At 36.1% G+C, this 14,427-nt stretch overlaps 1 protein-coding gene across 5 annotated transcripts in view; it reads right to left on the bottom strand.

Annotated features, from left to right (window-relative positions):
* The window catches only part of AIMP1 (aminoacyl tRNA synthetase complex interacting multifunctional protein 1), a 33,913-nt gene continuing 19,513 nt past the window's right edge, over positions 28–14,427 (bottom strand). For all 5 annotated transcript variants that reach the window (NM_001142415.2, NM_004757.4, XM_047416410.1 and 2 more), the window contains exons 6-7: positions 12,447–12,615; positions 28–1,958 (exon numbers count right to left, since the gene is read on the bottom strand). In NM_001142415.2, coding sequence (NP_001135887.1) covers positions 1,792–1,958; positions 12,447–12,615 — 336 coding nt within the window. In that variant the 3' untranslated portion in view covers positions 28–1,791. The remainder of the gene's footprint in view (positions 1,959–12,446; positions 12,616–14,427) is intronic.

The following is a 14,427-nucleotide window of genomic DNA, read 5'->3' as shown; positions in this document are numbered from 1 at the left end:
AAATGAGCTACTGATGATGCTACATTATGGGCTTTTAACAAAAGACCAATAGTTTTTATTATCTCTAGGTTTGATGAACGATTTAATCATCAGTTTAGGTTTCACTAACAAAACATTAGATAATTTGATCTGGGGTACAGTATTTCAACATTTAGTTGGGAAAATTTCAACTACCTAGGTAGTTGAAATATTATTTAAATTATATTAAAGAAATTTAATATAATTGAGAAAAATTAGAGCAAAAAACTCACAAAAGACTTTGTCACCAGAAGTATTTATTCCCAAAAGAATGACATATCTTGAGAACAAAGTAACTTTTGAAATTCATTTTGTGTTTAGGTACCAACAATTGTTAATGACGCTCAGTTCATATTTTCAGAATATCACATTGATAATGGTACTATAATATATCCTGGCCTACCAGAGTTCCATGGATTTAAATAAATAAAATTTAATTCTGCCTTTTATAACATGCAGGGTTGTTTTATGGTTGTTGAGTTTTGTGTGAGTGTGTGTATTTGTGTGTGCCTCTCCTTCTTATTGAAGGATTCAGACAGCTATAATGCTAAAATGTTTTGTGTGTGTGTGCATGTGTGTATTTTTAAAACAATGTCTATACTTCTGCCTCTATTGATGCCATTCTTTTGTTGAACCTGTAAAGGTAAGGCCCAGATTCTGAAACCTGGTTAAAGTCACTAATATTTCTCTGTGAGGCCCCTTGTTAGCTACCAGCCCTCCCCTATCCACACTCCCTATCTTGCTGACATGTGTGTAAGCCCAAATCATCAGTAATCACCTCAAGGCTGATGACCTGTAGGCTTATAATTCCTCAATTAATTTTTATTGCTCTTACAATATTTGTAAGATGAGTGAGAATAGCTATTTGACACCTTAATATATATGTATGGTATATGTTAAGTTTTAGGCTGTAATTTCTTTTAATATACTGACAGTATGATGACACATGAAAAAGCAAAATATCAGTCTGTAATAAGATATAAATTATCCTTTATTAGGTACCCAAATAATCTTTAAAAAGAAGCTAGAATTAAAAAAAAAAAGGATAGCTGCTTTTATGATCAATTTATTAGAAACTACTGTGGCAACTGTTTACAATGTGTTCATTCTTTAGACCTAGTCAAAACTTATTACTAATTATTTTGCTAAATAGAAAAACTTCAAGCCAGTAGGAAATCTCAGTTTTTTAAAAAAATTGCTGTTATTGTATTATTAGTCAGGGTTACTCTGGCAGCAAAGCAAAAATGTTCAGATGCCACTTCTCCTAGCTTTTATGTTTGGCTTTCAGAATGAGCAGTTGGTCATTATCAGTATTATTATAATATGACCAGTTAATAAGTCTGACAAACATTTTCCAACCTGTCATTTTTGAAAAGGAGAGGATATTTTTGATACAGATACACAATATACAAAAAATCCCAGAGCTTGAAATTTCATGCATCCTGTGCCTACAAATAAGAAACTAAACATTAATCTAGTTAGTTATCTATGTGTATAAAGAAAAAAAAGCTGCTAATCAATATTCCTGCTAAAAAATAAATTATTACAAAACATAGGCAACTTCCTCTCTCCATTATAAATGATCAAAAACCGAGGTAAAAATCTAGTGTTTCCCCAATCAATGAAAACAATATATACCAAGTAAATGACTAGTCAAGTCTAGAAGAGAGTAATGCAAAAATGAGCCACTCATATTTTAGGTATAAGTGACAAATATATTTCTCTTTATTACTTTTAAGGTTTTCTCTAATGTCTTTTGGTAGTGGAAGCATTTTATTTGATTCCACTGTTGCTCATGGTTTGAGCCCTACATACTCCCTTCCCTTTCACCTCAAAGGGAACTCCTTTGTATGTAGCCACACACTCATCATTAGTGTGAAGATCAGGCTGGATCTGCTCCCAAATCTTCTTCTTAGGATTCAGCTCCTTGTCAGGCTCTCCTGTGTAGGAGAAAAAAAGCACAAGAAAATTACACAGCTAATATACAAAAATATTAAAGAGACTATTCACAGAGATTTCCAGTGAATTGTTTTGGCAACATTTTCTGATTTTTGGACCTAATCAAACTTTTAACATTTACTTTATTTTTATTATGTCAGCAGTTTATATTCTTGATTGGTAAAATAAAATCGTTGTTGTTTCTTTATGTATATTAAAGATATCATATTTTACTCTTATATTTTATAAGTAATAAAGCTTAATGAATTGTATCCAAATTATCAAAATAATAAAATGTAAGGTACTCATTGATATAGTTTGAGTCTGTGTCCCCACCCAAATATTATGTTCAATTATAATCACCAATGTTGGAGGTGGGGCCTGGTGGAGGTGATTGGATTATAGGGGCAGATTTCCTCCTTGGTGCTGGTTTCATGATAGTGAGTTATCCTGAGATCTGGTTGTTTAAAAGTGTGTGGCACCTCCCCGCTCTCTCTCTTGGTCCTGCTCCTGCCACGTAAGATGCTCGCTCTTGCTTTGACTTGCTTTGACTGCCACGAGTAAAATTTCTGAGGCTCCCCAGAAGCAGATGCTGCCATGCTTCCTGTACAGCCCGCTGAACCATGAGCCAATTAAACCTCTTTTCCTTATAAATTACCTAGCCTCAGTTATTTCTTTACAGCAGTGCATGAATGGATTAATATACTCATTTTATCATTAAATATAAAGGAAAACTGTGAAGAAATGAAAATATATTTCGATATGTTATATTTTTACAACTGGCAGAAGCAGCTTATGCTTTAATATGTTTCAAAATACAAAATGAGCAGCTAGATCACTGCTCTAGTGCTTAAAGATTTCTTATCAATACTGGAGAATGGCTTAAATTTTGGGTTTCTCTAGCTAATGATGATAACTACTTTGGATTTCATTTGTTACCCATTCTACTCGGTGAGATGTAAAGAAACAGAAAGGAGTAATGAGACAGGGACTAGTATTTTCTAAGCACTAGGAACATATATTGTTGCCTAAAATTCACATAACTCTGACTCTAATTTTAAGTATAAAGAAACTGAGGCTGAGAAAACACAAGTTGCTCAATGTCACATGATCAACAAAGCCCCTGTTCTGCTAGTACAGCACTCTGCCCCCTGACAAACCATACTTTAGAAAGTAAACAACCTTTTTACATGTGGTTAATACCCACAACCCCTCTATTTATAGTAACTCATAGTATAAATTTTATAATAAAAGAAAAATTAGTAGTAGAGTATATCTGGTCTAGGCTTAAAGACAAGTAATGTACCAAACAGCTCCTCTACTTAATGACAGAAAAGTAGAGAGTAAAGTTTAATATAAGTTCAATAGCTGAGAATGTTCAATATTTAGAATGAAGAATCAGTCAGTTCAAGAAACAATGAAGAAAAGTAACATATCTCTTAAGCTGTAGAACTTCGATGATTCAATTATTTTCCTGGAGGTAATAAAAAAAATTGCTGAAGTATAATTAAGTAATGATAGAAATATAAACCTTCTAGATCTTTTTTTCACTGACTCCTAAGTTGAGATCTCTTGGAATTACTTAATTACTGGAAGTATTTATATTTTAGATTAGGAATATAAAATATATTTTATATTTATATTTTATATTAGGAATATAAAATATATTTTATATTTATATTTTATATTCTGATGACATCTTATTATATAAAATAGTATTTATTTTCCAGTCATATACATATAAGAATAACAAAACTGTGTAAATTAGTTGGTCATTGTAGTTTTGTTGTTTATTAGCTCTTCAGAAACTATGAAACTGCAAGAACATACAACATTGCCTTCTAACATGCAGGCTTTCAGAGATAACAGAGTAGTTAATTGAATGATACACCTACATTAGAACTTGTAATGAAACTAAGACTGAAAGTGACTGGTATAAAAAATAAGAATTTCTCCTACTCCTTTAAGGACGTTTGATTCGACAATAGAGAAACTAATAAATAGAATGGAAAAAAAATAACCATAAATAAAGTTCAATTATATTGCTCCTTAGATCCATAAGATTTTTATTTTTTGTTTGTAAATCATTCCTTAATCTATAATCATAATCTTGTGCATATATTGTGTGGCAAAGCAGGCACTCCAGGATTCTGGAAGGCTAGAGGGAGAGATACTGTTCAGGGAGACCTAAGCACTGACTCAGATTTGCAACCTTTGCAACCTTGGCCCAAAAGGATGTTGCCAAACTGATAATGAGTTAGTTAAGAAGCAGACTGACATACAGGCTTCTTATAAAGAATATAGATTGTGTGGGTAAATTCTTGCTGCAAGCAGACATAAGCCCTAAGTATAAAAAGCTGTGATGCAGCACAAAATTAACCTTCTCAGATCTAGAAAGAAAGTGCCATATAAACTAGATAACATTCATAATAACACACAACACGTATATAGTGCTTACTAGGTGCTGGTCATTGTACTGAGTGCTGTACATATATTAACTTGTTTAATCCTCTCAGTACATATGTAAGTAATATTCATTACTCTCATCTTACAGATGAGGATATTGAAGCACAAAAGTTATAGCAAAGAATTTAAAATACCAGGCAGTTGGCTAAATGTTTCAAAAGTTAAAGCTTACAAACCCAGTTAAGAAAAATACCAACTAAAAACCCCTTCTTATAGATGAAAAAGCTGAGGTTCAGAAAGATATGAATAAGATGAGTAAGCGAATCATGCAGCTATCTTGGGAAAGAGCCAGTGGCTCAAGTGGAGTGAACAAGGAAAAGCTGGAGTTCATGAGATTAACAAAATAATGGGAGATCACTGTAAGAACCTGGGCTTGTACTCTAGGTGAGATGAAAAGCTTCTGAATAGTTTTGAGCAGAGTAATATAATCTGCTAGATCACTCTGCCTGCTCTAATTGAAAATAAATGGAAGAACAGGGAGGGCAAAAGCAGGATGATAAGTTAGAAGACTTCTGTAAATATGCAGAAAAGAGATGTTGGCTTTGGGATTAGGGTGCTAGTGGTGGAGTTAATAATTATTTTCGGTATGTTCAGAAGGTAGAGCCACTAGGATTTTCTGAGGAGAAGATGTACAGATTGAGAAAAGCAGTTAAGCAACTAGGAGGATGGAAATCCTATCAAATAAGATGAAAAATACCATGGAAAAATGAAAGTCTAGGGGGAAGAATGGGATATGTGTCCTTCCCCCTTGGAACATGTACATCAAAGAGTTCATTTGGCAGCTATCTAGCTTATCTAAGTGACTGGGTAAAATTGCCAAAGGAATAAGCATGGAAAAAAAAGAGGTCCAAATCCAAGGTCTGAGGCCCTATAACAGTAAGAATCTAAGGAGGTAAGGAAGAATCATCAAAGGAAATGACAGGGGCAGCCAGTGAAGAAGGAGGACCACCAGGAGAGTGTGGTGCCAGAAGCCAAGTTAATTAATAATAAGACTGAGAACTAGACATATAGCTACAGGGAGTGACTGGTGATCTTACCCAAAGCAGTTCTGGCAAAACACAGTGGGGAAAGAAACCTGATTAAAATGGGTTTTCAAGAGGAGGAATCAAGTATAGACAATTTGGATTTTTAATAAATGGACTTTTAAGTTAAACCTATGCTTCATAATTATCTATTAATTTCTACTATTAATACGACTCGATATCAATAGAAATAAGCATGATCTTGGAAATTAAAAGTCTGACTGTAAATTCCTACTTATTATTTGATCATAAATAGTGCATTCTCACAAAGACCTGGCATTGTCTTTGTTTCCTAGCTGTAGTACTGTTTTCAAGTTAGTTTTGCTTGGTGGGAGTAGAGTGGTGAGCATATGCTCCATGAATCTAAAGCCATTAGGCATCTCTGAGAAATCATGGAGACTGAGATTTTCTCGAAATGTAATCTCCAAAAAAATGTTGTTAGAGCATAGACCACTATGATTTCTCATCTACCAAGGTTCAAGACACAGATTCATTCAAAGTCATGGGTACTTGTAAAAAAAAAGAAAATCCCCTGTGTGCTTTTTTTAGACTAGTCTACTTTTGATTAGGAGAGTAGAAATGAGTTCCAAGGAAATTATTCCATGCTTTCATCCATATTTTCTGTCTTACTATTCCATGTTAAAACTCTTCATATTGTAATATTTCATTAAACACAGTTAACGGAGAATTTTAAAACATGCCTATATAATCACATCAGCCTTGCTATTCAATAAAATTCAGCTACTTGCAATCAGAAATGACAAAGGTGACATTAAAACCAATCCCACAGAAATACAAAAGAACCTCAGAGACTATTAAAAACATCTCTTTGCACACAAATTAGAAAATTGATAAATTCTTAGAAACACACAACCTCCCAAGATTGTACTAGGAAGACAGTAAAAACATGAACAGACCAATAACGAGTTCTCAAACTGAACCAGTAATAAAAACCTACCAATTAAAAAAAGTCCTGGTGTGGTGGCGCATGCCCATAGTCCTAGCTACTTAGGAGGCTGAGGTGGGAGGTTGGCTCGAGCCTAAAAGGCAGAGATTGCAGTGGGCCAAGATAACGCCACTGCACTCCAACCTGGGTTACAGAACCAGACCCCGTCTCAAAAAAAAAAAAAAAAAGCCCTGGATCGGATAGATTCGCAGCTGAATTCTACCAGATGTACAAAGAACTGGTACCAATCCTACTGAGACTATTCCAAAAAACTGAGCAAGAGGAGCTCCTTCCTTGTGAAGCCAGCATCAGCCTGACACCAAAAACTGTCAGAGACCACAAGGAAAAAAGAAAACTTTAGGCCAATATCTCTGATGAACACTAACACAAAAGTCATCAACAAAATACTGGCAAATCAAATACAGCAGCACATCAAAAAGCAATATACCACAATCAAGTAGGCTTTATTTCTGGGATGCAAGGCTGGTTCAACATATGCAAATCAATAAATGTGGTTCACCACATAAATAGAATTAAGACCAAAAATTATATAATCATCTCAACAGATACAGAAAAAGCTTTAAATAAAATCTACCTCCCTTTATGATAAAACCCTCAATAGACTAGGCATCAAAGGAACACACCTCAAAATAATAAGAGCTATCTATGGCAAACCCATAGCCAACATAATACCTAATGGGCAAAAGCTGGAACCATTTCCCTTGAAAACTGGAACAAAACAGGGATGCCCACTTTCATCACCCCTATTCAACATAGAACTGGGAGTCCTACACAGAGCAATCAGGCAAGAGAAAGAAAAGGCATCCAAATAGGAAAAGAAGAAGTCAAATTATCTGTCTTCACTGATTTATGATTCTGTACCTAAAAAACCCTACAGACTCTGCCAAAAGGCTCCCAGAGCTGATAAATGACTTTAGTAAAGTTTCTGGATACAAAATCAATGCACAAAAATCAGCAGCATTTCTATACACTAAAGTTCAAGCTGAGAGTCAAATCAAGAACACAATCCCAATTACAATAGGCACACAAAAAATGAAATATCTAGGAATGAACCTAATGAAGGAGGTGAAAGATCTCTACAAGGAGAACTATAAAATACTGCTGAAAGAAATCACAGATGATACAAACACATGGAAAAACATTGTACACTCATGGATTGGAAAAATCAGTATTGTTAAAATTGCCTTACTGCCCAAAGTAATCTACAGAGTTAATACTATTACTATCAAACTACATACAACATCATTTATAACAGAATTAGAAAAAAATTTTCTAAAATTTGCGTGGAATGAGGAAAGAGTGCAAATAGCCAAAATAATTCTAAGCAAAAAGAACATAACTGGAGGCATCACACTACCCAACTTCAAACTATACTACAAGGCTACAGTAACCAAAACAGAAGGGTACTGGTACAAAAATAGACACACAGACAAATGCAACAAGATAAAGGACATAGAAATAAAGCTGCATGCCTACAACCATCTGATTTTCAGCAAGTCAACAAAACAAGCAATGGGAAAAAAACTCTCTATTCAATAAATGGTGCTGGAATAACTGGCTAGCCATATGCAGAAGAATGAAATAGGACCCTTACATTTCACCATATACAAAAGTTAACTCAAGATGGATTAAAGAATTAAATATAAGACCTAAAACTTAAAAATCCTAGAAGAAAATCTAAGAAATATCTTTCTCAATATCACCCTTGGCAAAAATTCTAGGAAATATCCTTCTCAATATCACCCTTGGCAAAGAATTTATGACGAAGTCTCCAAAAGCAATTGCAACAAAAATAAAAGTTGACAAGTGGGAGCTGATTAAACTGAAGAGCTTCTGCACTGCAAAATAAACTATCAGCAGAGTAAACAGACAGCCTAAAGAATGGGAAAAAATATTCGCAAACTATGCATCCAACAAAACTCTAATATCTAGAATCCATAAGGAACTTAATTCAACAAGCAAAAAACAAATAACTCCATTAAAACATGGACAAAGAACATGAAAAGACACTTCTCAACAGAAGACATATATGTCGCCAACAAATATCAAAAACACTCAACATCACAGAAGTGCAAATCAAAACCACAATGAGATACCATCTCATACCAGTCACAGTGGCTATTACTAAGACAAAAAACAAAAATAAGATGTTGGTGAGGTGGAAGAGAAAAGGGAATGCAAATTAGTTCAGCCACTGTGAAAAGCAGTTTGGAGTTTCTCAAAGAACTTAAAACAGAACTACCATTTGACCTAGCAATCCCATTACTGGGTATATACTCAAAGAAAAATAGAATATTCTACCAAAAAGACAAATACACTTGTAAGTTCACTGCAGCACTATTCACAATAGCAAAGACATGCAATCAACTCTAGTGTCCATCAACAGTGGATTGGATTAAAAAAATGTGGTACACATGTACTATGGAATACCATGCAGCCTTAAAAAAAGAAATTAATATCCTTTGCAGCAAAATGGATGCAGCTGGAAGCCATTGTCCTAAGTAACCCAACACAGGAACAGGAAATCAAATACAGTATGTCTTCACTTATAAGTGAGAGCTAAACCTAAACATTGCGTATACACAGACATGAAGATGGAAACAAAATGCACTGAGTACTACTAGGAGGGAGGTCGGGAGTGGGGTGAGGGTTCTAAAATTACCTATTAGGTACTATGCTCACTACCTGGGTGATGGGATCATTCCTATACTAAACTTCAAGGACATACAATTTGCCAATATAAGAAATCTGTATCCCTTGAGCCTAAAATACAAGTTGGAAAAAAAAAAACCCAAAAAACCTTAGTTTAATTTTATTGCACCATTACAAAATAATTCGCTCACACACACACACAAATCCTCAGTCATTTCTACAAATATGTCTCCAAATTGTTCTTTTACCTAATTCTATTTATCTTCATTTATATCTGCCTTTCCCAATTACTCTAGTCAAATAAATATCCTTTAAATGCAGTCTTAATTTCTAACTGTTTTTCTTTTTATCAGGTCCTTCCTCTTATATGAGATAAATACTTATTCTATATCTGCCAAGAATCTTTTCTCTTCTGCTTCAAAGACCTATTTGAAGAAACTTTCTCACACATTATGAAGCTTCATCTGTCTCAGGAGTATTTTTATTAGAGAAAACAGGCAATACAAAATGAAACTTCCTTTTAGATTATTAAAATCATTACATTTTAACTTAGATATTTTCTCTATATCCTGAATTTGAGTAAAAACATATGCAAGTATATTATTAGATGGAATTTATAATTATAAATCTAAACTTTTCATCTCTGTCTTTCTGTGCTGCAGCATGAGACAATCTACAGCATAAGAGATTTTGCAGCACATTAATCTGTTCTCTATCCACGTCATACTTTTCTGCTACGCTGGTATTAATATTATTGCTTTAGTTAGGACAAAATCTCTCTGTGGTGTTCTGTTAGTCTGTTCTCATGCTGCTAATAAAGATACATCCAAGGTTGGGTAATTTCTAAAGGAAAGAGGTTTAATTGACTCACAGTTCCACATGGCAGTGGAGGCCGCCACATGGCAGAAGGTTAAAGAGGAGCATGTGTTACATGGCAGCAGGCAAGAGAGCACGTGTAGGGGAATTGCCCTTTTATAAAACCATCAGCTCTCATGAGACTTTTTCACTATCATGAGAACAGCACAGGAAAAACCCTCCCCCAGGATTCAATTACCTCCTACCAGGTCCCTCCCACGACAGGTGAAAATTGTGGGAGCTATAATTCAAGATGAGATTTGGGTGGGGACACAGCCAAACCATATCATTCTGCCCCTGGCCCCTCCCAAATCTCATGTCCTCACATTTCAAAACCAATCATGCCTTCCCAACAGTTCCCCAAAGTCTTAACTCATTTCAGTATTAACTCAAAAGCCCACAGTCCAGCATCTCATCTGAGACAAGACAAGTCCCTTCTGCCTATGAGCCATAAAATCAAAAGCAAGTTAGTTACTTCCAGAATACATTGGGGGTACAGGCATTGGGTAAATACACCATTCCAAATGGGAGAAATTGGACCAAAACAAAGGGCCCATAGGCCCCATGCAAGTCTGGAATCCAACAGGGTAGTCATCAAACCTCAAAGTTCCAAAATGATCTCCTTTGACGCCATGTCTCACACGCAGGTCATGCTGATGCAACAGGTGGGCTCCCACAGCCTTGGGCAGCTCTACCCCTGTGGCTTTGTAGGGCACAGCCACCATCCCAGCTGCTTTCACAGGCTGGAGTTGAATGTCTGCAGCTTTTCCAGGCACACTGCGGAAGCTGTCAGTGGATTTATGATTCTAGGGTCTGGAGGACAGTGGCCCTCTTCTCACAGCTCCACTAGGCAGTGCCCCAGTGGGGATTCTGTGTGTGGGGGGGTCCCATCCCACAGTTCCTTTCTGCACTGTCTTAGTAGAGGTTCATGACGGCCCTGCCCCTAGAGCAAATTTCTGCCAGGACATCCAGGGGCTTCCATACATCTTCTGAAATCTAGGCGGAGGTTCCCGAACCTCAGTTCTGTGCCTCTGCAGGCTCAACACCATGTGGAAGCTGTCAAGGCTTAGGGCTTGCACTCTCTGAAGCAAGGGCCTGAGCTGTACCTTAGCCCTTTTTAGCCATGGCTGCAGCAGCTGGGAAGCAGGGCACCAAGTCCCTAAGCTGCACACAGCACGGGGGCCCTGGGCCCAGCCCAGGAAACCATTTTTTCTTCCTAGGCCTCAGGTTCTGTGATAGGAGGGGCTGCTGTGAAGGTCTTTGAAATGCCCTGGAGACATTTTCCCCATTGTCTTGGCAATTAACATTTGGCTCTTCATTGCTTATGCAAATTTCTGCAGCTGGCAGAAATGGGTTTTTCTTTTCTACTGCATCTTCAGTCTGAACATTTTTCAAACTTTTATGCTCTGCTTCCCTTTTAAACATGTTCCAATTCCAAACCATGTCTTTGTGAATGAATACAACTGAATGCTTAAGAGCACCCAAGTCACCTCTTAAATGCTTTGCTGCTTAGAAATTTCTTCTGCCAGATACCCTAACTCATCTTTCTCAAGTTCAAAGTTCCATAGATCTCTAGGGAAAGGGCAAAATGCCACCAGTCTCTTTGCTAAAGTATAGCAAAAGTCACTTTTGCTTCAGTTCCCAACAAGCTCCTCATCTCTATCTGAGACCACCTCAGCCTGGACTGTATTGTCCGTATCACTATCAGCATTTTGGTCAAAGCCATTCAACAAGTCTCTAGAAAGTTCCAAACTTTCCCACATTTTCCTATCTCCTGAGCCCTGAAAGTATCCAGGAAGTCCCAAACTGTTCCACATTTTCCTATCTTTTTCTGAACCCTCCAAACTGTTCCAATCTCTGCCTGTTACCCAGTTCCAAAGTCGCTTCCACACTTTCGGATATCTTTACAGCAGTGTCCCTACTACCCAGTATCAATTTACTGTATTAGTCTATTCTCACGCTGCTAATAAAGATATACTCGAGGCTGGGTAATTTATAAAAGAAAGAGGTTTAATTGACCAACAGTTCCACATGGCTGCAGAGGCCTCACGATCATGGCAGAAGACAAAGGAGGAGCAAAGGCATGTCTTATATAGTAGCAGACAAGAGAGCATGCGTAGGGGAACTGCCCTTTTATAAAACCATGAGATCTCATGAGACTTATTCACTATCATGAGAACAGCACAGGTAAAACCTGCCCCCAGGATTCAGTTACCTCCCACCGGGTCCCTCCCATGACATGTAGGGATTATGGGAACTACAATTCAAGATGAGATTTTGGTGGGGACATAGTCAAACCATATCAGGTGTTTTATACAACATGTACATTCATGGGGAGGAGAATGATTACAAGGTTTACTCAATGTGTCATCTTGAGCCAATCTTGAAAAACTCAATAATAGTTAATAATGGTCATTAATGTAAGACTCATGATTCTTACACAGGACTGATTTTAACCTTTAAGCATTACAAACATCACTTTGAGAACTGATTCCGAAACTATTAAGTAATTACTAATAAATACCTACCTGGGAAAGCATCAAAAGTAATTCTGTCTCCAGGAACAGACCCATTTGGAGGAGCCAAGATTTCAATTTTCTCTGGTGAACTAGCACACATGACCATTGCTTGAGATAATACTCCCCTCATCTTTGCAGGTTTCAGGTTACAAAGTAAAATCACCATCCGATTTTGCATCTGTGTGAAATATAAACTGGTAAGTAAAGATGTACACAGATTAAGCCTAATCATATCCAGACTACATTAAGCTACACCTAATATGCTAAGTATCAAATGTTCTACTTTTGTGGATGTACCTTTGTCTTTGTGTGCCCAAAGTCTCTTATTGTTGTTACGAAGCTTTGCATAAACATGAAAAAAAAATTCCTCCAAATTGATAACGCATTATGGTTGAAAGAGCAGAGGAATTTCAGTTAAAAATTTACTCAATGAATAAATGAGTGAAACAGACTTGGTTTTGAATTTCAGCTGCCATGTACTAGCAATGAGAATGCATAAAGTTGACACTCCTGTTTCCTCAAAAAATGAGAGAAATAATATTGAAGAGTTGTCATAAGGATTAAATCATAACATGCATAATAAAGCATTTAGCCTAGCATTAGAATTAAAATAAATGGACACATTTACACATGTGCATTTTCTTCCCTACACATTTGATCATTTCCAGAGCTATGCTAGATTTATTTTTTAATTTAAAAAAAATTGGCTGGGTGTGGTGGCTCACACCTATAATCCCAGCTCCTTGGGAAGCTGAGGCAGGCAGACTGCTTGAGCCCAGTGTTTTTTTTTTTTCGAGACCAGCATGGGCAAAATGGCAAAACCCAGTCTCTACAAAAAATAAAAAAATTCGCTGGGCATGGTGGCATGTGGCTATAGTCCCAGCTACTTGGGAGGCTGAGGTGGAAGGATCGCTTGAGCCTGGAGGCTGCAATGAGCCTTGATTATGCCACTGAACTCCAGCTTGGGCAAGAGTGAGACCCTGTCTCAAAAAAAAAAAAAAAAAAAAAAAAAAAAAGATCATTTAACAATTTCAGCATCATGCATCATGCAACTAACATGTAGGGCTAGTTCTACAAATTTTTTATGGAAGCAAACGGAAATTTCTTTAATCTTCATATTTGAAGTGTCTTAATTTTTTTCTCCAACTAGCAAAAGTAAGAAATATAGTTATTTAAATTCTTTCAACAAGTTTAAAATGAATCATACAAGAGAACTATTGCTCAAAGGAGAAAAAAAGATGCATTCTAGATAAAAGATGGTTTTATAAATAAATGTTATATGCAAATTTACTCTGAAATACTATGATTTAAAAAAATGAGCCTAAGAGTCAAATTCGAAATGAATTAGGGGGTCTTCATAAATAATATTTCTCTTCGAATGCTTCAAATAACTTGACAATGTCACGTATATGAGAACTTAAAAGTTACAGCAAAAGTGTTTAAGAGTAGCAACAGGATTAGTAAGATGCAATCCTTTAAGGATCTGACGATAGCTATGAAACTTTTCCCTAGAAAAATGTACCACCTACAAAACAGAGTATATAATTTTGAATTCTAAGTGTCCCTACTTTATAGAATGTTTACTAGTACTATCTTTTTTTTTTTAACTTTTATTTTAGGTTGTATCTTGATGGGTTAGATACAGATGTTTATAAAAATAGCTTTGCTTATGGTTGTGAATGATGGCTGCTGGAAGAGAAAAAATAGTCTACAACTTATAAGAACAGAAAAGATGAAGCCCAAATGAGGAGTTTTTCCAATTTAAGCTGGCTGAAGATCAGTTGGTTCTTTTCTCCAGGGCTCCTAACTTCATAAGGAGTTATGAATCAGTTCTGGTCCTATATAACATAAATATTAAAAAGTAAAAAAAGCACATGCATATGCCAAGTCTACTTCTTTTTTCCTAGATAAGAGAAACTTCACTGATCTCCTTAATTCCATCTTCCTCCCATCAACAGAGCAGCCAGAATGATCCTATTAAAATGTCAGG

Source organism: Homo sapiens, chromosome 4, assembly GCF_000001405.40.
Source record: "Homo sapiens chromosome 4, GRCh38.p14 Primary Assembly".
In the NCBI taxonomy this organism is placed as follows: Eukaryota; Metazoa; Chordata; class Mammalia; order Primates; family Hominidae; genus Homo; species Homo sapiens.
This window is presented reverse-complemented; position numbering and strand designations above follow the sequence as displayed.